Source organism: Homo sapiens, chromosome 1 (genome assembly GCF_000001405.40).
Source record: "Homo sapiens chromosome 1, GRCh38.p14 Primary Assembly".
In the NCBI taxonomy this organism is placed as follows: Eukaryota; Metazoa; Chordata; class Mammalia; order Primates; family Hominidae; genus Homo; species Homo sapiens.
The window spans coordinates 47,686,504-47,712,224 of NC_000001.11; the positions used below are offsets into that span (position 1 = coordinate 47,686,504).

Sequence of the window (25,721 nt, forward strand, 5' to 3'; positions counted from 1 at the left end):
GGACAAGTTGTTTCTCAAATAACTGGCCATTTTCAATTCAAGTACTTGCTTAACTATATCCAACTGTTTTGTTTTCTGCCCCCACATAACTGAAGTTTTAACCCTGGGGAGGAAATACAATTCTAACTCCGGGCTTTTTTTAGGTGGCTTCAGCTGTTTGGTCCAAGAGGCCTGGCTGGTGTGGGTCAATGAAGAGGAGGTAATATCTTCTTAGGAGACCTCGCACAGGCTCAGTCAGCCCAGGGCCAGGAATTTTTATCACAAACCTAAAGATAAGCACCTCCTTCCCCAAAGGCAGGAGCAAGATCTGTTCCGGCAGGGTGTCAGAGAGGGTTGGGCTCAGGTTTCACTGTCTGCAGATTTGGAAGCTGAATGTACTCCTTAACAGCATCCCCCACCCCATAACGTCCCTCTTTCCCATCCATCCTCCTAGTCCCAGTCCTGGCCCCTGATCTAGAGCTCCCCAGAGAAGAGCAAAGACAGAGTCACTCAGTCAAGACAGACACATGGAGACAGGTTTCCAGAGCTTTCACTCCCACGAGCCCTGTGCAGCCAGCTCAGCACCACCTTAAAGCCCACTGCTTTTCCAATGGATGAGAGAAGGGAATTTACTTGTCTTTTCTTTTCAGTGGCTCCAGATCATACTCCAACTAGCCCTTCCCCACACCTGCGCTGCCCCATACTGACTTCAGGGGTCTGGAGAAAGGACACGGTCACCAGTGTGAAGTACGGGCCTGGTTTCCCCGGGGAGAACAGAGTCAGCCTATCTCCCTGCCCAACCTCACCACCTGAGGACCTGTCCAGGCCCCGTGTCTACACCACACCCCACTAGCCCTTGGCTGGCTCGGCCTGGCAGTGACCACGGGCCCCGGGCTCTCTTCTCTCCACCTTCCCAGGGCCTGGATGGCCTTTGAGTAAACAGATAGCCCAGCGAGGTATGTGATCAATTAGCTTTGCTGAAAATGCAATCATTTTGTTATTCCAAGCTGATGAGAAGGCCTGCTCTCCCAGCCTCCACATGCCAATCAGCCCGTGTCACCGATATAATTTTCCACATAAACACAACCTTTGTGCAACATCTACTCTTGTAAATAGATGTAATTCCCAAACCAAATAACGCACTTGGAGGGGAAATGGATATTATGCATGCAAAAAGAAAAGCCGGCGATTTTTACACTTTCCAGGCAACAAAAGATTACCCCTAATTGCGAACGGGGGAGGGGGTGGCGGCGAAGCAGGGAGGTGGCCCGCTGCTGGGAAGCCAGGGAGGCCAGCTTCCAGGCAGATTTTTTTCTCTCTCTGCACATGTGTGAGCACAGACCACCAGGAACTGCTTAACCGGGGACTTGTCCTGTTTAGGCAACTGGGGAGAACGTGGTTGTTGTTGTTGATATCTTAAAGGAAACGGAGAGTTACTTAATTATAAGGTTTGGTCTCTCTTGCCAGGAGAGACCCCCTCCAAACCCTAAACTATACACATCCTGTTGCAGAACTTCCTCCTACATTCCTGGTAGGGAATGGCCTCGCTGGGTTGTGGAGTGTGTGAGTTCCTCTGAAATGCATTGGTGTGTCTTTCTCAATGTTCTGCTCATTTAAGTGAATCCATAAATTAGACCTTGAAAGCAGCGGAAGTTCTCGGGCAGCCAGGGAGTGAGAACGCTGCAGAACCCACTTATAATCCTGGCCAGGTTCTGGGCACGGGCTGCTCCCTGGGCTCTCTGAATGCTACGGAAATGAAGGCTGGGACGCCTCTCCCGAGCCCCTGGCCTCTCCTCATCCCCTGGCACAAGAGGGAGAAAGCTCTTTGGGGTCACTGTCAGCCCCCTCAGAGCCCCGAGCCAAAGGGAGAGAGCAGCCCGGCACAGGGAACGGCAGGATTGCTGAGCTGCCCCCGTGTGGTGCCAGGGGGCCCAGGGGCCCCACAGGCAACCCCACCCCGGGCCAGGCGGTGTGGCCCACATGAGAGCTGACAGCAGCCTCTGGATGTACTCCCGTGCATCTGGAAGGGGAGAGAATCACAGACGATGTAATTTCAACAAGGACGATTTCGGTCTTTTGCAAAGACCCTTCTATTAGCAGGTGAGTAATCACATCTTGGCCTCAAGAAGGCCTCGATGTTTCCTATAATGCTTCTGGGTCTTTATTTCATCAAGGTTCAAAACAGTGTGTGAGGCGTTAGAAAGGGAGTGTGGGTCTCTATATTGACAGCGAGCCAACACGGGCGAGCGGGAAGGAGCAAGCAGCGTAACCACGGCTCCAGCTCCTTTCCAGGTTCTGTCCCCAGGCCTGGGAGGGGTGGACGGCCCCTAATACTTCAGCTACAAAACATTCTCCTATCTGACCCCCACCCCTCCCCCTGCCCACGGAACTCAGCCTAAGAACCCTCCTCTCTGAGCGTCCATCCGTCCCTGGCTCCCAAAGCCCATCTGAAACTCATTAGCTGCTTGAAATGATTGTCATGGGAGCCCTTGATGGGGAACAAGAAAAGGAGAGGGATACTTTTAAAGGACAGCAATCGGGACCCAAATGCTGGCAGATGTTTGGAAACCTGGCTTTTGAGGAGGGGCCTCCCGGAGGCATGGGGCCAACTCCTCGGCCTGACCCTGGCCAGGCCCCCACCTCCCATGCCTTTGTCTTTCCAGGCAGCTCCTGGAGCACTGGCTGGGTAAAGCAGCTGTCTTCAGGTCTCCTTTGCCACTGAGGAAGAATCCATGGCCATGGGATGTGCTCCAATCTGATTAGGAGGACAGCTGTGGAGGTCCCTTGATTCTTTGTCACTTGCAGCTTAATTCCTGCATTTTGTAGATAAAATGACTTTGTGTTTGTAATAATGATATCATAAAATATGAGACATGTTGGAATCATGATAGCATATAATATTAACGTTTCAGAACTAAGACTCCTTGACATTTAATCTTCAAAATACAGAACATTGAATAAAAAAAAAAATTGTATTGTAGGGTCTTAGAAACCCAGTATGTTAGAATCTTAGATTGTGGGAATTCTTGAAAACTTGATTTAAAAAATCATATAAATGCTTTAGATTTTTAGTAGCATAAAACATTAGAATTCTAGAATTTTAGGATTATGAAATCAGAATTCTAGAATACTAGAATTATAGAGCATTATAAATATAAAAGAATAAATTTATAGAAATACAGAATCATGACCTCTTTCAATCACAGAACTTGAGAATGGTGGAATATTAAATTAAGGAAACAATGATAGAATCTTAGAATTACAGGAGGATATTAGCATCATGGAATGGTAGAATTAGAGAACCATAGTGTTTAGAATTAGAGAATCATAGCAGTTTATAATTACAGACTCATTGGATTATAAACTCTTAGAATCACAGAACCTTAGAATCACAGTGTCTGTTAGAGAAGTATCAGATCTATGAATTACAGAATTTTAGAATTATAGGCTTTTAGACATAGCCTTGAAGAATTTCAGAGGCAAAAAGGGATTTAGAGGCCATTTGGCCCTACTCCTTGCTCAGTCCTATTCACACACACACACACACACACACACACACACATGCGTGCAAGCGCGCGCGAAACCTCTCGGTAACCCTGTGCTTATGTCTAGACAACGCAGTCTAATTTTATCGTTCCTTACATCCCCTAGAGCCGCCGACCTCCTTTTCTGTCTCCCCTCTCTGCCTGCCTCTCATCATTACAAATTCCTACCAGCCCCCTGTTTTTCAAGGGAGAGCTTGCTTTTCGTTTTGCAAATCATCCAGCATCTTAATTCACCATGCCTGTGTCTTGCAGGACAAGGCTATTTCAGTGATTAACATATCAGGGAAACGAAGCCTTGGCTTCATTTGGGATATGGGAGGGAGAGCAGGAGGGACAGGCAGGGGTGTGTGTGTGGCCTCCTAGAAACAGCATCAAGCAGGCCCACATAGGAACCCATGCTGCCCATTCCCTCTTGGAAGGAGGTGGGAGCCACGACAGTGGCTGCAATCATGCAGCCTGGCCTATCTAGGTGAAAGGAGATTCGAAACTGTAAGCCATTTCATGCTTATTTATTTTATGATCCTCATGGGCTGGGTTTACACAGATCGGACAACATGTGGATTAGATAATTTGCTGGGAATTAACAGCCTCCGATGGTTATCAGTCTTGGGGATTAAAGCTGGGTTGATGACGATGGTTCAGTGATGAGTTGATGATGTTATCCATGTCCTCATCGGGGTTCAGAGAGACGTGGTGGCTCATCACCCAGTCATAAATCCCCACCGGGACAGCATAGTGGAAGAGGATGGTTAGGTATCAACTGGAGATTAACACTTGGGATTCTATTACATTTAGGAATAAACCAAAAGCAAAACAAAGTCGGCTTCAGAGTCAGCCTGGTAATTTAGAAAATATTGCCTTCGGAATGAATTCATCCCAAAGCTCTGTAGAAGAACTAGCCGAAGATAAACAATTTAAATATGAAACCTCCTGCTTTTTATTTAAGCACTATAAAGACAGAGTCTGTGCAGTGACCGCCAAAAGACGAGGCTATCTTCCTTGAATGATCTTTTCTCCAGCTCAGTTCCCATGCAGAATCTCCCAGCCCCAGGATCACGTAAAGCACCTCCTAGGGGAGGGAGCAGCCTGGGTTAGAAATGCTCAGAGATTGTGGCAATCTTCCCATAGATGAAGCATTGAAATCAACCGCTTTTGCTGCTTTCACATCTATTCTTTTATTATTATTATTATACTTTAAGTTCTGGGATACATGTGTAAAATGTGCAGGTTTGTTACATAGGAATACACGCGCCATGGTGGTTTGCTGCACCCATCAACCCGTCATCTATATTAGGTATTTATCCTAATGCTCTCCCTCCCCTAGCCACCCCCTCCACCCAACAGGCCCTTGTGTGTGATGGTCCCCTCCCTATGTCCACGTGTTCTCATTGTTCGACTCCCACTTATGAGTGAGAACATGTGGTCTTTGGTTTTCTGTTCCTGTGTTAGTTTGCTGAGAATGATGGTTCCCAGCTTCATCCATGTCCCTGCAAAGGACATGAACTCATCCTTTTTTATGGCTGCATAGTATTCCATGGTGTATATGTGCCACATTTTCGTCATCCAGTCTATCATTGATGGGCATTTGGGTTGGTTCCCAGTCTTAGCTATTGTGAATAGTGCTGCAATAAACATACATGTACATGTGTCTTTATAGTAGAATGATTTTTAATTCTTTGGGTGTATACCCAGTAATGGGATTGCTGGATCTAATGGGATTGCTGGATCAAATGGTATTGCTGGGTCAAATGGTATTTCTGGTTCTAGGTCCTTGAGGAATCGCCACACTGTCTTCCACAGTGGTTGAACTAATTTACACTCCCACTAACAGTGTAAAAGCATTCCTATTTCTCCACATCCTCTCCAACATCTGTTGTTTCCTGACTTTTTAATGATCGCCATTCTAACTGGCATAAGATAGTATCTCACAGATCTATTCTTTTTTTTTTTTTTTTTTGACAGAGTTTTGCTCTTGTTGCCCAGGCTGGAGTGCAGTGGCGCGATCTCAGCTCACTGCAACCTCCGCCTCCTGGGTTCAAGTGATTCTCCTGCCTCAGCCTCCTGAGTAGCTGGGATTACAGGCATGTACCACCATGCCCTGCTAATTTTGTATTTTCAGTAGAGACAGGGTTTCTCTATGTTGGTCAGGCTGGTCTCAAACTCCCAACCTGAGGTGATCCACTTGCCTTGGCCTCCCAAAGTGCTGAGATTACAGGCATGAGCCACTGTGCCTGGCCTGACACATCTATTCTTAATAAACCATTTAGTTTAGAAACTGCAAAGCCACACAGCTAACCAAATTGCAGTGCCCAACTGGTTCTAGGAATACCATTTCGATGTAGCCGAGATTTTTCCAACACCGAAATGCGTGCCGGAGAGGTAGAGGATAGTCAGGCCAAACCCGCCTGCCATGCTGTGTGCCTTTGGGCAAGTTAGAGCTCCTTTCTGGTCCCCAGCAGGCCCACCCACAGATAGGTAGTTGGATTAAATAATCTAAATGTGGGAGCAAAAATATTAGAAACAGAAAAATTACAATTTGGCTTTATTCCTTTTCGTGAGTTGAATTTCAAATTAGTTAGGTGAGTATTTCTATTTATTTTAGAGGCAGTTCAACCAAGATCTGCTATTTTCATGGCTCTGGGTTTTGATTTCAGATGTGAAACAACAAAACCATGACCCCAAACTTCCTAGACTGTTGGCTGCAGCCATTGTACACAGTTTTCAGTGGTGTGGCATATTGTTAACACAAATGACAAATGTCATTACCTCCTCAATTCTGAAAGAAGTAAGAAAAGAAATGGGGAGTGAAAACGAGCTAATGGAATAGCACACTAGGTGTCAAGAGGCCTCATTCTATGACTCTCAGTTTCCCCATCTGTAAAATGGGGAGCGGGTGGAGGCCGGAGAAATCTAGAGGTTGTCTTCCGGCTCTGAAACAAAGTTTGAGTTTCTGAGGCTTCAGCCCTGATTCTAAACAAGGGTGTTGGGTGTGTTGTGCTCTGTTGCATCCATCTGCAGCTCTGCAGGGGCCACCCCTACTGATTCTGGAGATGGGAGGGGTGGGGCTGAGGAAAATGGAGAGTCTTTACAAAGGGCACAATGGTAAATCCCCGATTTCTGGACAAGTCCCTTTCACTGTGAGCCTGAAAGGCCAAGGAGGGGTGGGCAGGGTGAATGGGCTTGGGGGTGGGTGGGTGAGTACCCTCTTGCCACAGCCCCATTGAAAGTTGGTGGACCTGTCAGCAATGAAAGGAAGTGAGTTAAAGAGGCAAGTGAGGGGGCTGTGCTAGGGGCTCAGCAATCCCCCGACACGGATGAGGGACAGAACCGCAGCCTCGGTCCAGCCCACGTGGACTGCCTGGCAAGGCTGCAGGGCACAACGGGTCCTCCATTGGGACTTTCTGCCCTCTTGATTTGAATCCCAGTTTTAAACCTGTGACAATATTGTGTGTCCTTTCATGGTGGATTTGGCCGGGATTTATGCCTGAAACTCATGGAACTGCAATTCTCTGGAAAAGCCGAGGCTGGTGGTGAGGTTGGGGAGTGGGGCTGGGGTGATTGCAGGGCTCGGACCAGTCCATTTCATCAAAATATCTAATCTGGAAAGCTACACACCAACCAGCTCCACATCCACAGCTGACCGTGGCCGACAAACAGCCTGTCAGTTGAGTCCAGCAACGGGTCAGTTTAGATGAGCAACGGGCCAGTCCAATCAAAGCAATCAGTTCAGTTATAAAAATGGTAGCGGGGAAAGGAACAACAGAAAAACAACAATACCAGCAGTTCCGTTTTTACAAAGTGACCGTGCAACTTTCTTGACTATGTACAGGGAAGCAACCAAGCGGTTCCCCAACACAAGCTCAGCCTTGTCCGGTCAATCACTTGGCAGGTCTGGAGGTAGAAGCATTCAGAAATGATCCTGTGGTCCAGTCTGACCCCCTGTCTCATGCCGTGGAACCTCAGAATTACGACATTGTCAGAACTGGTAGAGTGGGGCTTGGGATTCATGCAGCCTCACCCCTCCTCATCCCAGGGGTTACAAAGAGTCTAGGGTCCTTACCAAGATGCCATGGCACTTCAGGAGATTCCGCTTCTCTCTCTGAGCTGAATGTCCCTCAGTGGCAGCTAGTTCTTCCTTGTGTCTAACCAGAGTCTCTCTCGCTGCAGGAGCAGCTTGGATGCTCCTCCTCATGGCCAGTCTCCAGAGGTGAGTGTGCTGGGATCCTGGCCTGGGGGTGGGCTGGTGACCCCTCTTCCCTGAGGTAGCAGAGGCCTGGAGGGCCGTCTCTGTGTTTGGTGAATAAACATCAGAGTCCAGTTGCCGGCCTGTCACTCTGCAGCCTTTCAGCGTGTGAGAGGCCAGGTGGGCCAGAGGGAGTTCCCATGGGCGGCATATGAAGAGGCCGGGGTCTGCGGGGGCTGTGGGGGGCTGTGGGGACTGTGGGGGCTGCAGGGGCTGGGGCCCAGGCAGGTCTGCTTTGGATAGCCAGTAGAATCAGCTTTTGCAGGCCATGGAACTTCACACCTTTGAAAGGCTCCAGAGCGGCCCACAGAAAAAATAAACCGTTCCTCCCATCCGTGGCAGATCGGCCATCCTTAGGGGCTCCCGGTCATGCACATGGAAACCCTGTAAAAGGGCCCAGTGTTTCCTTTGCCACTCCCTGAAAGGATATGGGCTGAGTCTTGCCATGGCTGCTGGGGTCGGGCAAGAGTGCTTCATCCACACCAATGAGGCCTGGGGCCCAGCCCCACTCCCCTGGGACAGCCACCCCAGCCTCTGAGCCTTAGTTTACACATCTGGCAAGCAGGCATTAAAAAAAACCCACCTTAGGGTTTTGTGTGTGTGTGATGGCAGAATAAGGCATATATGTGTATGAACATACTTAGCACACAGTAGATGCATGATCAATGTCTTCCTCCTCCTGCTGTCTATGGAACCTAGAACAGGTCGGATTTCCTTTAGGAGCCACAGTTCACTTTCCCGGAAAGTGGGGTAGCATCTACGTGTGTCAGGATGAAATGAGACAAAGGGCTTAGCACAGGGCCTGGTACCAGAAGGTTCTGTTATAGTATAATTTCTTTTTTCTTTCTGTTCCTCCTCCCCTCTGGGTCTCGGGGACATCATCTTATAAATGGGAATGGTAATACTTTCTTGACCTACTAGGTCAAGAATGCTGAGGATAAACGCAATGCTACCAGCACTTGATGAGCTTCATTATGCTGCAGAACCATAGGAGAGACTAGATCTCAAAACACTTTGACAGCAAGAAGAAAGATTACAAGGCTTAGAGAGTCCTAGGAGTATTATGACAAGACTTAGATGAGGACATGGCTCTTGTCTCATCGAGTGATGGTTCAGGCAGGAATGTTGGGAGTCTTAAGGAGAAAGAAGGGTCCCTGCTTCTTGTTGGTACCAGGGAGGGCTTGCTGGAGGCATGGTTTGTCCAAAGCTATGGAGCTCTGTCTTTTCATGGGTCTAGTTTGTTGCAAATGCTTGAGGCCTAGGCTGCTGCTGGCTCCCAGCAAGTTGGGAGATGTCCCCAGAAGTGTCTGTGGTCTCTTGCCTGGGCTTTTCAGAGCTGCAAAGAGACAAACTAGGACCAAGGGGGTTAGAAGGAGCGAAAGTAAGAGCAGATCCCAGTGTGAGCTCTCCAGCCACAGAGCTGGCTGTCTCCAGTGGCAGTGAGCTCCCTGACACGGCAGGTGCCCAGCAGAGGCTGGAGGACCCTGTGACAGGTACTGAGGAGAGACTGTGGCAGTGGGTGAGGGGTAGGATTATCTGAGAGATAGGCTTGGAGTCAGGTACCCTGGGCTCCTCCTGTTCAAGCTTTGCAATTTACCCCTGTGACCTTGGATTAGTCTCCTACCTTTGCAAAGTTTGTTTCCTTATATGTAAATTGCCTGTAATTCCTACTTCCAAGAGTTGTTTTGGAGATTAAATGAGATAATGCACATAAGGTATTTAGTACAGTGTCAGAAACTTGGGGGCTCTCCCTGTCACAGCTTAGATTCTAAGATCTTACAGGCTGAAATTTGTAGGGGAAGGTTAAGATCCTATTCTTTGAGGATCTGGAATTATAGGAAATTGAATCCATTTATTTAACAGGTACTTATTTAAAGCTTATCCTATGCTGAATACTTTTATATGGGCTTTATAAATATTCATTGAGTCTTCACAACACTATGAGCTAGGTACTATTCTTACCCCCAGTTTATAGATAAATAAACTGAGGCAGAGAGAAGGTTAAGTAACTTGCCCATGGTCACACAGCTAAGGAAGTGATAGAGCTGAGATTGAAGTCTGGTTCCAGAGTCTATGCACGAAGATTCTAAAACCATGAGACTTTAAAACCATTCCATATTCCTAAGGTTACAGAGAATTTGAGATTATGGGACTTATATTAATAATTGCAAATGTCCAGGATGAAACAGTTCTAGGGCATACTTTTTCTGCAAAGGACCAGGTTGTAAATATTTTCCTTTGGCTTGGCAGGCCATAAGGTCTCTTGTCACATTACTCAACTCTGCTGTTGTAGCCATATCTAAACAAATGGGTTCCAATAAAACTTTATTTACAAAAGCAGGTGGCAGGTGGATTTGGCCCTTGTGTTATAGTTTGCTGATCCCTGTTCTTGATGCATTGTCTGCTCTGCTGAGCGCCTTGGTGGGGGCTCCCTTCAGGACTGAGCCCCAGAGGAGCCCAGCTGTGCCCCTCATTTGGAGATGCAGAGGGGTCTGCGGGGGCCAGGCTGGCTCCCAGGGTGCGGGTGCCTCTGAGTGTGGCTCTCCCTTTCTGTCCTAAAGAGGCTGTTGAAAAGGCTCCTCTCTCCAGCAGTGGCGCCTCATTACTCATGGTTGGAAAACAATGTTAATTTCCCCCAAGCGGGAAGCAGCTGCACTTGTGAGCCAGGGCTCATTTTGCTGCATGAATATTTATGGCATGTCCCCTAATTAAGCTCAGAAATAAAATTTATCCTGCTAACAGGGTCCACAGAAGACTGGAAGGCCATGTCAGGAACCAGCCTCTTATGCCTGTGAAGTAGGTTTGTCAATGAAACATTTGTTTCCAGAGCCACTTGGCCAGGGACAGTGTCCACAGTAGCATTTCCTGGAAGGTCAAGCACCCTTTGTGTAGTCACATGCTTGTGCAAGGGGACACCTACACTACCTTGCTGAGCAGTGATGGATGGCTATTGTCCCAGGCCTGCATGTGGTGACACAGAGGTGACTCTAGGCCAGAGCCCTTAGCAATACTTCTTTTCTTTTAGCCAGTGTGACTCAGGTATTTTCTGATTGGGTGTCAAAGGCCACTCCAGTATAAATAGCCCAGTGAGAAAGCGCCCTGGAGTGGGAACCAGGAAAGATGGGTTTGAGTTGCTCCCCTGACACTGATTCTAGCTGACCAGGGGCCGGCCTGCCTGCTCTCCCAGCCTCAGGCCCCCATTTCGTTAAAATGATGGCGGACTGTCAACATCATGTAGTTACTGGGAATCATGGGAGACCATGGAAGATAAAGTCTTTTGGGGAATGATTCTCACCATGATTTGGAATTTCCTTTACCTCCAGGCCCTCCCTCCCTTAAATCCCCAGAACCAAGGAAAGCCTAGGCCTAGGCCAGTAACCTTGAGGGCTTCCGGAAACCATAAATCTTGGCCTTTCCTTGAGGGGTCCTATCTCCAGAGAACTGCCTGGGCCCTCATATCCTCTTCCACAAAGCCAATAAACCAAGCAAACACCATAAAGCTCCTCACCCCACCTGAGCTTTCCCCCACGGTCAGAGTCGGACCTGGTCAAGAGTCATGAGTTTCAGAACATGGCTATAAAATTGCACGTGGCTCCTCCCCATTTCCTTTCCAGAATGGAACTTACCTTTGCTTTCTCTCTTCCATCCTCTTTTTGATAAGTTTCCTCTTTAATTTCTTTCCAGCACCTGAGAGATCCCATCTTGCGTTCCCAGCCTCACCTCCCAGTTGCTGGTGGGGGCTTGGAGAGGAGGATGCTTTCCTAAGGCAGGTCCGGGGGTGTAATCAACCAGGGGCCTTGGCAACTGGCACACCTTGTAAATTCAAAAGTCAACAAGATGTGGAAGCAAAGGAGACCCTGGGGCTGGAGAGGAGGAAGTGGGGAGGTGAGGGTGGGCCTTATCTTGTGAAGTCGGTCAGGGGTGGCTTCTGTGCCCTCTGCCTCCCCTGGTGGGGCCTGCCCCACCCCCTGGAGCCTGGAACTTCCTGCTCTCATTCTTCACCTTCACATCCTGAGCTCAGAACTGATCACAGCTACAGCCTGGACCCTGGAAGGGGCCCTAGAGGCTTTCTCTCCCACACCCTCTCACTACAGATAGGGAGGCTGAAAAAACTGGGAGGGCCTTGCCCTAGGTCAGTGTCAGAGTGGAAATAACACTGGGCTGGGGCCAGGAGACCGGGTCTCTGGTTCTTGCCTGGGCTGAGTCCAGACCTCAGTTGCAGACTGTAGCCTTACCTCTAACCCCTAGGTTACCATGAGATGGGAGGAAAGATCACAGCTTCTTAGGGCCCATCTCAACCACAGAACCATATGAACCACTTAATGGCTATTTGCATCCGGGACACACTCTTCACTGAAAAAGGATGCCATGATCTTACCAATTTGGAAGTTTGGTGCAGTGGGCTTATTAGAGCACTGTAGCAGAGGTGTGACATTCACAAAAGTCACTTTAACCTCTCTGGACTTGAGCTTCCTCATCTGTAAAATGAGGATAATAATCCCCCTCGCCCCCCTCCACCCACTGCCAACTATCCCCTCAGCTTCTGATGAGGGTCAAAGGAGATACTGATTCAGTCTTTTGTTAGATGAATGTGTTTACATGTGAAAGAATAAATATTAAAATTATACCTATTGTTTTGTTATTATTTGGTGTTTACTCTCCTTCCTGGCTAGCCAGAAAGAGCTGGTGTTTTTTGAAGACCTAAGCCCGGGAGCAAATTTTTCCTGGTCAAAGAGGCCAAGAGTGGGCCCAGGATCTCTGCCAGGACCTGCCAGGGCCCAGAAGATTTGGGGAGGGGAGCTGCAGCATTAGAGGGCTGAGACCCCTTTATCCTTGATTAGGTCCAAAGCTGTTGGGTGGAACTGTGGCACCTGCAGAGTTAACCGCGTCCATGGTGTATCATTGCGCTAAGACAGGCTTAGAGAGAGCTCAAGGGGCCTACATTTAAATACACACCTTTCTGTTTCCACAGCTCATGTATTTTAGGGAGGAAAATTTAATCCATATACTTTTAGTTCATTTGCATTAAAGTCATCACAAAGCTTTGTCTGAGCCATTTTGAGCTTGTGTGGCCTGTTGGAGAACCTTCACTGTCTTTCGAAGGCCTTTTCTTCCTCTCTAGGCAAACAGGAAATCATACTCTGCCCAGGAGCAACCAACCTGAAACCTTCAGCGCTGCCTGCCTCACCTGCCTTCTCACACCTGGAAATGACAGGCCGAGATCAAGTTCCTCTGGAGCCCAGGAAACTCTCATGCCTGACAATTAAATGCCTCCATGATTTGCCCCAAGCTATCTTGATAGCAGTTGTACCCTAACCACCAGGCAGGGTGATGTTCATGGAAACCTCTGTTCCTGCCATTCCCTCTCCCCTGGCTACATTTCCTCCTGACATTTTGCCCATTCTCTGAGGCCCAGCTGCGGCTCAACCTCAGCCTTCCCTTGATCATCCTTATGCAAGCAGTTGCATAAGCAGTTGCCGGCTCAGGATTCAGTACTAAGTGTCATTGGTAAACGTTTATTGGATGGATGAATGGAATGGTGGATGACAGGGGCTGGGATAATTTATCCTATATTTTCTTCTTGCTTCTCCCTCTTCTGAAATGTGTCTGGCCCAGGTTTTGGTACACACGGAGGTTTGAGGAATGCCTAAAGAATGAATGCACGTGCAGTGAATGGATGGCTGTAGAAATCCATTTATAGAGCACATGCTATGGGCTCTGCATGGGGCCAGATGCTGGTATCACAGCTGTGAAGAAGACATGCTTCCTGCCCTCATCTTTCACATTGTAGCTGAGAAGTCAGGCAGACACTGGGAGTTGCACAATCTATGATGTATTTAGTTACTCTTGTGATAAGTTTGAGGAGGGAGGAAAATGAATATGTGTATGAGTGAAGAAAGGAGTAAACAAATAGAATGAGGGAGGAAATGAATATGTACATGAATAAAAGAATACTGGGGAGAATAATTAATGGAATGATGGATGAAGATGAATTCATTGTGAAGGAAAAGACCCCAAGCCGTGTGACACAGTATTTGTGGACACAAGGCCTAGAGGCCACTAGGCCACTGTGGCCTGAAGTCAGCCCCTCTTTTGTTTCCCAGGGTGCAGGAGCAGCAGGTGGGTGGGGAGAGGTAAGGCCCTCTGCATCCTGAGGTTGGCAGCACTGCTACCATCTTAGCATCTCCCAAACTTTAGTCTCAGAAAGGGTGGGTGTTTGTGACTTTAACCTGGAGAATCTCAGGGCCTGCAGGGCTGGATTTTTCTTTTTTTTTGAGACAGTCTCACTCTGTTGCCCAGGCTGGAGTGCAGTGGTGTGATCTCGGCTCACTGCAACCTCCGCCTCCTGGGTTCAAGCAATTCTCCTGCCTTAGCCTCCTGAGTGGCTGGGACTACAGACGCACACCACCATGCCTGGCTGCTTTTTTTTTTTTTTTTTTTTTTTGAGATGGAGTCTCGCTCTGTCACCAGGCTGGAGTGCAGTGGTGCAATTTCGGCTCACTGCAACCTCGGCTCACTGCAACCTCCATCTCCTGGGTTCAAGCGATTCTATTGCCTCAGCCTCTTAAATAGCTGGGATTACAGGCATGCGCCACCACGCCCTGCTAATTTTTGTATTTTTAGTAGAGATGGGGTTTCACCATGTTGGCCAGGCTGATCTTGAACTCCTGACCTCAGGTGATCCACCCATCTCGGCCTCCCAAAGTGCTGGGATTACAGGAGTGAGCCACCCCACCTGGCCACAGGGTCTGAGTTTTGCTCAGCACATGGCATAATCCTCAAAGCTTTCACAATCATATCCACACCACACGTATCCTCCACTGGGAGAAATCAGCTGGAGAGGGAAGGGCCTGCCCAAGGCCCCAACACCAGAGTCCTGACCTCCAGGAGCCTGAGACAGACAAGGCCCATTTTGACTTAGCTCCTTTCGTCCCCCTCTGAGTTCTCCTAATCCTCTCCCTTTGTGCCCCCTCCAGCCCCACAGGCCCTACCCTCTCCTGGCACATGCTGGGCACGCTCCTGCCTTGGAGCCTTGGTGCTCCTAATTCCCTTTGCCTGGGATGCTCCCTCTAGATGTCTGCAGGGCTCACTCTTGCTTCCTTCCAGTCTTCTCTCAGAAGTTACCCTATTAGCGAGGCCTTCTGTGGCTACTGTATCCATAATTTTGTCACTGACCCCTTCCTTTGATATCCCATTCCCTTGCTTTGATGTTTCTTTATAGCACTTATCCTTATCTAACACTGTATGTTTTTCTTATTAGTTTATGATCTGTTTCTCCCATGATCTGTTTCTCCCACTAGGATGTAAACTCCAGGAGGGCAGAGATTTCATATTGCTTTGTTCACTACTGTATCCCAGCAGCTGGAATCCAGCCTGACACACAGTAGTTGCCCACCCCATATGCACTGAATGGATGAATGAAGCAAACTCTCAAACCCGGCCTCTCCTCTCCATCTAAAAGTCACTCTCATTGTCTTTCCTTGCTGGGACCCTGCAACAGCCTCTTACCTGATTCTCAGCCTCCTCTCGGACCCCTCAGCTTCCTCCCTGACGATCAGCCTCCTCCCTGACCCCTCAGCTTCCTCCCTGACGCTCAGCTTCCTCCCTGACCCTTCAGCTTCCTCCCTGACACTCAGCCTACTCCCTGATCCCCAGCCTCTTCCTTAACCCTCAGTTCCCTGCCTGACCCCAACCTCCTCCCTGACCCCCAGCCTCCTCCCTGACACTTGGCCTCCTCCCCTACTCCACAATCTCTTCTTTGGCTCAGAGCAATGTTTCCTCTATGGTAAATCTGACCATATTTTTTGACTTCTGGAAATTTCTTACTGTGTTCCCTTTCCTTTCTCTTGATTCTGTCTCTCCTGATCCTGTAAAACATAGATCTAAAATAACATACGTGCAGTGTCTGACCCACAGCGTGCACTTGTAAGTGGTAGTTCTCGCCACCCCTGATGACAGGGCCTCTGGACGGACGGTGCAATGAGGAGGGTGTGCTGGGTGTGGATGGCATGGGCAAGCAGCTGGGGGTGCAGTGGTGTAGAGTGAATGGACAGGGTGTGGCCAGGCCCTGCACACCAATTTTAGTAGGAGGATCCTGGGACGCCAGGTGAGAGGATTGGTTGGGATCAGATCCCAGAAGGTATTGACTGTAAAAGTGAGAGCTCTGCCCCATTCTGCAGGCAATGGGAAACCTCTGTGAGCTCCTTCAACAAACTCAACATGTTGCCAAGCACTGATTGTGAGTAAGTGCTATAATGGGCACTCTCATGGGCAGGCTTCAATAGTATCCTGTACCAATCCGTAGACATCTGTATTACTGTCCCCATTCTACATATGGGGAAACTAAAACACAAAAAGTTTGAATAATTTCCCCTAGGTAACCTTGGGAAACTAATACAGCGGGGAATTGAGCCCAGGCCCAGGAGACCCTAAATCTTTGTATCTTTTCACCATCCAGAGGCCTACTGCTCACCAGATGTGTGGATGAACAAACCTGAACAGCCTGGAGGCTGGTGATATCTACCCCCACAGCGCTTCTTCCTTGGTCCCCCAAGCAGGCTCCATAACTCCAAGACTTCACGCAGCCTTTTCTGAACTTGGAAGTCAAGAGAAAATTCACAGAACTTTGGAAAATACATTTTCTTTTAAGGAAGAATTTTTTGTTTTCATTTCAACAGCCCTGGCTGGTGATGAGGGGTGATGCGAGGTGCCCTGTTTTCCATCCTAACACCTATTTCCAGGTGGGGGCAGGGAGGGCTCCAACCTGAAATGTTATTTCAAAACCTTTCCGGGCCTTGCAGCTCCATTTCCAGGCCACATGCTGCAAAGCACGGCACGATTTCCCATTACGTGCTGTTGCCCTTTCTCGTCTGAGCACCTTTCAAAGTGGGAAGACCCAGCCTGCTGCAACACCCTCCCTCCTGTCCCCATAAATTAAGTCTCACTGCCTGATGTGAGGCTTAAATAAATAGCCTTGCCCGGCACCCGATGGCCACACTCCTGATAGATGGGCTTGCCAAGAGCAGCAAACTCAGCTCGCTCCTCCTTGCCCCTCCACAGAGAGAAGATGAAACTGGTGTTTTGCAAATGCTTCCTGCCTGCTTTCTGCCAGCCAAGGCACATTCCAAGAAGGAGCAGGCCAGCAAAGTCTTGTCATCTGACGGGGTGAGGACAGAGATGGATGATGCGCTCTTTGCCAGAGAAGGCCACGTTCAGACACTCCCAGATAGCCAGCTGCCACTTTATTAACAGCAAAGATCCCCATCTGAACGAGGCTGGGAAAGAAAATATTTATGCTTGCCTGTCAGGAGGACCTTCATTTTTCTTCTGGGGAGCCAGCCAGGGTGCTAGTCCAGGGATGGAGGAGTGTGACGTGCCTATGGGGTTGCCCCAGGCCCTTCTGCATCCCAGGGTTGATGGAGAGTCCAGAATGTTCCCAGGGCAGCTCTGGATGGGGTCGGGAGGTTTCAGAAGAGCTGGATATAGGGAGTTCAGGGCCTGAGAAAGCAGAACACACCCTGGCACCTGTTAACTGCAAACAAGAGGACCTGGGTGGGGGAGTGGGTGCTACAGTTAGAAATCAGTGGCAAATAGGCCATTAAATGATCTCATTATTAATTAAAAACACATAGCAGCATGCATCTGATAAGAAACTTTGTACTAAGGATAAAATAATTTTGTATTGGCAGAAAATATCAACACTGGAGCAGAGCTTATCATTTAAGCTGGGCATATATTAAAATCAGTTTATATTATTACTCTTCTCATGGTCATTATTTTGAACAAAAGTTGAAAACCAGTTCTTTAACGGTTTCAGAGATGCCTGTGAATCTGCACTTGGGAAGACCTTGCCACACTCTGGGAGACAGCTGTACCCAATTACAGTAAGTGAGTCATAAGGTGCTAGGCTGAACAAGTCCCGCGCCCTAGGGAATGGAGGCTTTGGCCTCACTGGAGTGCCAGGATTGTTCTCTTAGACCCTACTGAGGTTCCTCTCCCCCAGCTCTGAATGCTGGATTATTTATGATCCCGATGGAGCATGCACATTGGAGTCAGCAGACCTGAGTTCAAATCCCAGCTCTACCGCTTAGCAGCTGTGCAATCAACCCTGAACACCTTATTCATTTTAGCCTCCTGTTTTATAAAATGGAGCTAATAAATGTCTCCCTCTTGGGGCTGTCCTGAGAATAAAGTGAGAGGAAGTCTGTGAAATGCTCGCCACGGTAAGAGTTGCATACATAAGAGGCAGCAGTAATGGGAGCAGTGCGCACACATTCCACTATGTCTCTAGGAGTGTAGCAATAATTTTCATTGATGTGTGACTGAATATGAGCAAATGTGTGCAAGCACCATTCCTAGTGCATATCTGTTTAAGTCTGCTCAGGCTGCTATGACAAAATACTATAGACTGAGTGGCTTAAACAACAGACATTTATTTCTCATAGTTTTGGAGGCTGTGAAGTCCAAGATCAAGGTGCCAGCAACTTTGGTTTCTGGTGAGGACTTTTTCTGGCTTGTGTGTGGCCACTTTCTCCCTGTATCCTCAAGTGGGAGGGGAGAGAGAGAGAGCGCGCGCGCGCGAGAGAGAGATCTTATAAAAACACTAATCCCATCATAGGGTCCCACCCTCAAGACTTGATCTAAACCTAATTACCTCCCAAGGGCCCAACCCCAGATACCATCACATTGGGGGTTAGGGCTTTGACATGTGAATTTTAGGGGAGCACATTCAGTCCATAACAGTATCTACATCTGATATCTGTATAGTTCATATCTCTATCAGCTGGTGAACCTGTATATTGTATAGGTGTTATTGTCTACTTATGGAGGTATGGAGGTTTATAGATATTGTGTACACCTCTATGTATGGACCTTTCTACACATGAGAGTGTACCAGAGGTTAAAACCAAGGGCTCAGACTACAGGTGTGTGTAGCATGTGTACACGTGTGTATACAAGCATGGGAAGGGCATGACTTGGGCTACAGTAGGCAGCTACCCCTCAGCCCAGTATGGCAAGTCTCCTGCTCCCACCAGCCCATAGCACTGCCAAAGGGACCCAGGCAGAGGGACTCAGAGGTTCACTAGGACTGGGGATCTGTCAAGCCTGAGATCCTCAGCTGCAGGTACCTGAGGATTTGTCTGTGCTGTGGCAGAGCCCCTGCCCTTGAGGGTGCAGTTTGCCTGGGGAGGGGACATGGAGCCTGTCCTTGATATTATGGGAACTTTATTAGCTCATCTTCATCCAGTGTGGGACCCATCTTCATCTATTCAAATGGATCATTTTTCTCATTGAGAGCCTTCCAAGCTCCAGCTCAAATGACATTTGCTTAGCAATTGGCCTGTTTGAAAAAGCCGACATATTGGAGTTGAGGCATGCACAGGCTGCACCATCTTTCCAAGCTGGGGGTGCAGGGAGACAGACCCACGGGAGAGGGTAGAGGGAGGTGGGGGCATTCAGTTGGTCAAGAATCCCGCGGAAACAGGCAAACACATTATCCACTCCAACACAGGCAATTTTTTCCCCAGGGTAGCTAATTAGCAGGCAGCTGCACGGGCTCTCTACTTGACTTGCAGAATTAGAATGCTCAGCACAGAGATCTGTGTTTATGCTCAAAATCTGTTGTCCCTCTTCTCCAATCAGGAGAGGAGCTCTGTCAGCTCTGGAGCCAAGAGATTGCTCAACTGGCATTTCAGGGGCCTGATGGGCTCCTCCTCCAGAGAAACTTCTTCCCTGTTGGAGGCTTCAGAAAATGGCAAGCCCATCAATGAAGGCACAGGACACATCCACACAAGCACAAATATTTCCTCATTTACATAAACGTGACACAAAGGCACAGTCACACACATTTGCCCAGAAGCATAGGCACCCACCCCCAGAGACACATGTGTGTAGCATATGCACCTTCACAGCTTCTGGGAACATATGTGTAAGGGTACACACACAGAGAAATTGCTTAAATCTACAGAAACAAAAATTCTCAGAAACCAGCATCAGTGATTCTCAATTGGAATCTCAGAATCAGAGACGAGATCACATAAGAATGATAGGTATAAGATATCTGACACTGGATTCAGAAATTATATGAGAATCAGAATTCTCAAATCAGAATCACCAGGGAGCTTTGTATAAATACTCATATTGGGTTCCTCCAGAATCTGGTAAGTCATCAAGTGAGACATGGTAGTAGCCATGTGAATTTTGAAAGGCTCACTTGTGTAATGAAAACAGAACATTTTTATTATTAAAAATAAAATTAAATGGCTCATCCCTATTAAGGTGAAGAATAATTTGATTTGGTGAGAACTGTTATGATTTAAAAAAATTTTTCTAATTTTAGTTTTTTTGAGACAGGGTCGTGCTCTGTTGCCCAGGCTGGAGTACAGTGGCATAATCTTGGCTTAGTGCAACCTCTGCTTCCTGGGCTCAACTGATGCTCTCATTTCAGCCTCTCAAAAAGCTGGGACTACAGGCCCACACCACCACACCTGGTTAATTTTTGAATCTTTTTTGGTAGAGATGGGGTTTTGGCATGTTGTCCAGGCTGGTCTCAAACTACTGGGCTCAAGCAATCCTTCAGCCTCGGCCTCCCAAAATGCTAAGATTACAGGCCTGATCTACTGTTCCCAGTCGTGATTTTTTTTTTAAAGTGATGGCATTCTTGTTTTGTTGTTTCAAGAACAGAATAACTTGAAGCTGGAACTTCCCTGGTGGATGTCTTTATGTCATTTAAAACAGATAGGAACAGTGACAAATACAACTCGTCCAGGAGATTTTGTTTCCATTACAGGTGTTTCAGACTCACTGTCTAAATAGGGAGGGCCTCTGGTTCCACCTTTCCTGCTACAGATAGGGAAACTGAGGTCCAGGTAGGACGAGCTACTGCTTGAAGTCATAGAGCCATTAGTGATTTCTGTGAGTAAATGTATACAGAGCACACAGTAAGTGGTCAATAAATGTTAGCTACTATATTACTATTATTGTTATCATCATAAGTTATTATGATTAGCAGAGCAAGACTAAGACTCCAGAACTCCTTCTCCCTCTGGTTTATGGGCTCAAGATCTCTCTCCCAGTTGAGAAGACACTGAAGGTGAAGTAGAAATCTGGGCCCCCACCCAGTCCTATCTTCTGTAATTAAGCCTAGTGGATGTACTCCAGTTCTTCCAGTTTCCAGAGAAAAAGGCTAAGGAAGGTTGTTAGGAATAAGTGGGGGCGGGGAGAGGGGGCAGCATGATGAAACTTTGAAGGGAGGTCCTGTCTTGGTGAGGGGCTTCAAAAGGCAGCAGCCTACTTGTGCAACCTTGGGAGAGGCCAGCCTTTGGAGACACCATCTTTGATTAGCATGGGCAGGACACAGCAGCTGCAGGTCGTGGGGCTGGCAGCACCCTTTCTGCCTTCAGTTCCCTGGGGAGTCTCTTCAGGTCAAGGAAATCTTTGGTTCTAACCACTTCTCCGAGCCAGGACTGCTGGGTGGTCTAGGGGCAGGAGGGCAGAATGAGGGTGGGTCAGGGCAGGCCTCTGGTGCAACAAGGGGTGTGGGGTGGAAGACTTGGGATGGGGGGAGGTGGAATCGATGTGAGTGGGGTGGGGACGGGGAGGGCTGGCGCAAAAGGAGAGTTGAGGTCAGCGTTGGGAAAGTTTGTGGGGGGGGGGGGGTGGGGAGGGAGTAGGCGGGACCAGCAGATGCCAGAACGCTAAAAGGGTCCAGGGGACCCGGTAGGGGTCCATGACAGGGTGGAGAGGAGACTCCCTTCCCCCCAGATCCCGCTGTCCCAGGTGGCTAGCAGGAGGGGTACACCGCGAGTCACTGAGCTCCCCCTACATTTTGCGTCTGAGGCTCCAGAACATGTGGCCGACACACCCCTACTCCCAAAGGGCTGTCATTTGGAACGTATTTGCAGACACATGGCTTGTTTTTAAGTTAATGCTTTTTAATTCACTGTTTCCCAGTTGTCGTTTTTTATTGCAAAGGCGGATTCTGCCCGTGTGTGTTCCTTTGCGGGGGCGGGGGATGGGGGTAGCTTCGCGGGCAAAGATCCGATGAGAGAGAGGCAGAGAAAATGAGAGGCAGAGACAGAGGCAAAGGCACAGCGAGACACCGGGGAAACGGGGAAGCAGGTCAGAGAGGAAGAGAGAGACAGGCCGGAAGAGACTGTGCCCAGGAGCCTGGACAAGGGATGCCGTGCCCAGCAGCCTGGACAAGGGATGCCGTGCCCAGGAGCCTGGACAAGGGATGCCGTGCCCAGGAGCCTGGACAAGGGATGCCGTGCCCAGGAGCCTGGACAAGGGATGCCGTGCCCAGGAGCCTGGACAAGGGATGCCGTGCCCAGGAGCCTGGACAAGGGATGCCGTGCCCAGGGAGGGGAAGGCCAGGGGCCGCTCTAGCGGCGAGGGGCGGAGGGTGTGCTGAGAAACCCGGCTCCGGGGACCTAGGCTGACGCCCCCATCTCCGCCTAAGGCCCCTGGGGCTGAGCTTGCTTCCCCCTGGCTCTCTGGTTCCTTTCCGAGTGGAGGAGGGTGAACTGGCCCTTGGGAGAGGGCTGGAGGGACGCGGCGGGAACGGGCTGAGTACGCAGCACCCGGGTCGGCAAGGGCTGGGGTTCTGAGATCAGAGAGAAAAGAGGACCTGGGAGTCGGAGGCGATCTCCCTGGCCCCAGCCGACCCTCTGAGCTCTAGCGAGCCTGAATCCGGCTCTGGGGGTGGCGCCCCCCGCCTGCTGCGGCTCCCGGGGCCAGCGCCCTAACCTTTCAGAGCCTGGCCCTGCCACCTGTAGAAGGAAGGCGCGCTGGTGGCCCGTTCAAGCAGGCAGTGGCAGCACCGGGGGCCTTCTAGAAGGGACGAAACGGCTCAGGGGCCGGGGAAACTTGTTTGGCTTGACAACGCCTGGGCTGGGCGGTTACAGCAGCAATCCCGGGATTCTCGGCCCCGGGGGGTCCTGTTTACGCAGGACTCGCGGCAGACTGGAGGGAGTGGGGCGCTAGAGCTTCCTTCCTTAGCAGCTGAGAACCATTTCATCCCCACCACCGCTATCCTGAGACCCCCTCCTCTCCCCATCTGCGTCGGCTTCCCGCGAACCTTCCCCGGCGGCATCTTCAAACACACAGCGGCGGACACACAAAGACGCTCGCGAGCCAGCACTAGTGTAGGCACTCGGGCACACACAGATACACGACGCAAGGTCCCGGGGACTCGGATGGAGCCGCAGTGTCCCCGGCCCGGGCGGAGAGGGCTCGCGCGTAGGGGCAGCTGCTCCCGGGCCGCTCTCACACCGGGCGCGCGGCTCTCAAGCCGGGAGCTGGCGAGCTGAAAGCCCGGGATAATTAGCGCTAATTACATGTGTGCAAACAGCCGCGGCAGAGGGCGCGGGCTAGGCCGCGGGGCCGCCCCTCCCCCGGCCTGACCCTGGCAGTCCCACCGCAGTGGAGGGGCTCTGCTGGCGCAGCTCGAGCCGACCGCTAGGGGAGAGCGCGCAGGAGCACCCACGAGACCCGGGAATCGGGGTGCGCCGTCAGTGCCCAGAGCCACCGAGCCCCGACCACACACGCGGGCGCGCGTTGCGGCCCGGCAATCTCGGGATGGCGGGTTACAGTCGGGCCAGAGGCTGAGCCCAGAACTGGGGGCCGAACACCCGCTGCCCTTCGCTGCCCTTCAGCGGGGACCGGGCGGGGTGGGGCTGAGCATTCTGGCCCCTAGGCTTCTCCGACTGTTTTGGCCTCCGGAGCAACCCGGTGTCTGCGGAAGATTGGAAGCGACTCTCCAGCACCCCGCCGCCGAGGCCCGCTCTCCCAGGCCATGCCGGCTGGCGCCGAGGCCGCGGGACCTGGAAGGGTCGGAGTCTGGTGCTGGTGCCGGAAGGCCAGCCAGTCTCTGTCCGGATGAGCCACATGATCCCAGAAAGAGCAGCCTGAGCCTTAGTCTGCGCGCCCAAAAAATGAGAATGCAGAGACCATTCATACCTCGCTGGAGGGGCTTCAGATGCTGAGTACACGGGGGTGGGGGCGGGGAGAGCAGGAGAAAGGGCTTTACATGAATCCTAACGTGTGAATGTTTGCACTGAGAGCCAGACTTAGCCATCTCTTTTTATGGGCCTAGGTGCCTGCGGCGGGCTGGCTTGGCGTGGCGGCAGATAATTATATTCCTATAATTATAAATGAAGCTCAGAGAGGCCAAACGTCTCACAAGAGGTCACACAGCAGTAAGAGGCAGCTGGTTTTTCTGACTTCAAATTTCAAGTTCAGACTGCACAACTCTCCGCCATCCCTCCCGGACGCCCCTGGAACCCCACGCACCTCCAGGCCCTGAGCGAAGCCTGGAAGCTGCGGGGCGAAGCGGAGCGCGAGAGAGGTTGCGCTCTGCGGGTCGGGCAGCCGGGGCTCGCTGCAGGCCCATGGCGCCCTCTTGCGTTCGTGGCCGGAGGCGCAGGCGGCTGCTGGGCTGACCCGTGTCCCGCGGTCCTGCTGGACTTGGACGCGGCATCTGACTCCTCTCTCTCAATGATTGCGCAGGCGAGGATCGATTAGCTGCGGAGAGGGTGACCTGAGACCACACGAGGATGCATTTTGTATACCGTACGCTTTGTATGCTGTAAAGCACATGGGACACCCAGTCACAGCGTTTGAACACCACGGTAGTTTTCCACTCGCTTCCACCCCGTCCTTGATTTTTTACAGGAGTCCTGTAAGGCCAGCAGGGCAATAATTATTATTCCCACTATACAGATGGGGCAACCGAAGCAGGCCCAAGGCCACTCGCTGGCGAGTAGCGGAGCCAGCACCCAGACTGGATCTGCTTCCCCCCTCACGTGCACCCGGCTCCCAGGCTAGGGTCTGGCTCTCACCGAGGTTTAAGGAAGAGGGCTTTGGAGTCAGACAGACTCGGGTTCAAATTCTAGTCTAGAACAGGCTGTGAGGTCTCAGACAAACTACAGAACATTTTTGGGTCTCAGTTCTGAATCTGTAAAACCGGGAGGACCCCGCCTCTTAGGACTGTTGGGGGAGGGGTGAATTACGAACCAGGGCCAGGCGACTGGAGCACTGAGTCCAGCGCGGGGTACCAGCGCCATGGCTGCTTTAATCAGGGAGGATGGCATTTGGTGTGACTACTCCAGCTGGTGGTGGGTGGGCGGCAAACCGAGGATTACATACCTCCGTGGCTAACCAGAGAACCGAGAGCTCAGGGTTGGGGCTGCTGCTGGGACATGAGCCCAGCACTGTGTTGCCGGCTGCCCACAGTCCTGCAATTCAGCAACTTTTCTCCAGGGCCTTGGACAGGTTCTGGGAGGCCTCCTCCTCCTTACAGGTGGGGACACAGACCCCGAGATGAAAGCTGTAACCTTCCCCATCTGCAAGACCCGGAGTCTAGGGCTGTCTTCAGAGCCAACAAAAACCAGTGTGGGGAAGGTGGGGCTTCCTGAGATCTAGCTGGGGAGACAGGTGCCTGGCTGCAGGTGCAGGGAGTTGGTGCAGTTTGAGCCCAGTGGTTCTCAAACTGCTGGAGCATCAGAATCAACTAGAAGCCTTGCTAAAACACTTGCTAAGCCCCTTCCCCTAGGGTTCCGACACATTAGTTCTGGTGTGGGGCAGGAGAATCAGCAGTTCCCAGGTGATGCATGACACTTTGACAGTCACTGCTCTAACCCTTCAGAGAACTTCCTCTGAGGCTTCTCAGTTCACCAGCTCCACATTCACACTACCTCTGTCTGGGCTGCTCTTATTCTGGTCAGTTTCACAGAACATTTCTGGGCTGGCCCTCAGCATCAACAGAAGCAATGCGGCTGGGCCTCCAAGCCCCCTTCCTCTTGGTCCCTTCACACCTGTGGCTCAGAGGAGAACGACTTCTACAACTGCCAGATAGGACAGTCAGGCCAACTTTCTGGAGGAGAACTGAACTTGAAGATCTGCTGGAGGGGAGTTAGGGCCACAGCCTGGCCAGGGAGTGAAAGGTGAACACT

General features: G+C 50.4%; 2 long non-coding RNA genes across 2 annotated transcripts, besides 5 other annotated features; one reads left to right on the forward strand and one right to left on the reverse strand.

Moving 5' to 3' along the window:
• Positions 337 to 1,025: an enhancer, noted in NCBI's record as "H3K4me1 hESC enhancer chr1:48152512-48153200 (GRCh37/hg19 assembly coordinates)". NCBI's record gives its function as "activates a minimal SCP1, AML or CMV promoter by ChIP-STARR-seq in primed H9 embryonic stem cells {active_cell/tissue: H9 hESC(primed)}" and the evidence as "EXISTENCE:reporter gene assay evidence [ECO:0000049][PMID:30033119]".
• Positions 1,026 to 1,714: an enhancer, noted in NCBI's record as "H3K27ac-H3K4me1 hESC enhancer chr1:48153201-48153889 (GRCh37/hg19 assembly coordinates)". NCBI's record gives its function as "activates a minimal SCP1, AML or CMV promoter by ChIP-STARR-seq in naive H9 embryonic stem cells {active_cell/tissue: H9 hESC(naive)}" and the evidence as "EXISTENCE:reporter gene assay evidence [ECO:0000049][PMID:30033119]".
• On the forward strand, positions 1,995 to 17,522 carry LINC01738 (long intergenic non-protein coding RNA 1738). Its single transcript, XR_001738040.3, has 3 exons — positions 1,995 to 2,079; positions 7,692 to 7,731; positions 16,226 to 17,522. It is a non-coding gene; the product is annotated as a long intergenic non-protein coding RNA 1738 (long non-coding RNA).
• Positions 4,018 to 7,925, reverse strand: LOC124904174 (uncharacterized). Its single transcript, XR_007066067.1, has 2 exons — positions 7,585 to 7,925; positions 4,018 to 4,593 (listed from the first exon to the last, which is right to left on the reverse strand). It is a non-coding gene; the product is annotated as an uncharacterized LOC124904174 (long non-coding RNA).
• Positions 21,554 to 22,520: an enhancer, noted in NCBI's record as "H3K4me1 hESC enhancer chr1:48173729-48174695 (GRCh37/hg19 assembly coordinates)". NCBI's record gives its function as "activates a minimal SCP1, AML or CMV promoter by ChIP-STARR-seq in primed H9 embryonic stem cells {active_cell/tissue: H9 hESC(primed)}" and the evidence as "EXISTENCE:reporter gene assay evidence [ECO:0000049][PMID:30033119]".
• Positions 24,168 to 24,237: a silencer, noted in NCBI's record as "silent region_860". NCBI's record gives its function as "represses an Ori minimal core promoter by ATAC-STARR-seq in GM12878 lymphoblastoid cells {active_cell/tissue: GM12878}" and the evidence as "EXISTENCE:reporter gene assay evidence [ECO:0000049][PMID:35858748]".
• Positions 24,307 to 24,807: an enhancer, noted in NCBI's record as "H3K4me1 hESC enhancer chr1:48176482-48176982 (GRCh37/hg19 assembly coordinates)". NCBI's record gives its function as "activates a minimal SCP1, AML or CMV promoter by ChIP-STARR-seq in naive H9 embryonic stem cells {active_cell/tissue: H9 hESC(naive)}" and the evidence as "EXISTENCE:reporter gene assay evidence [ECO:0000049][PMID:30033119]".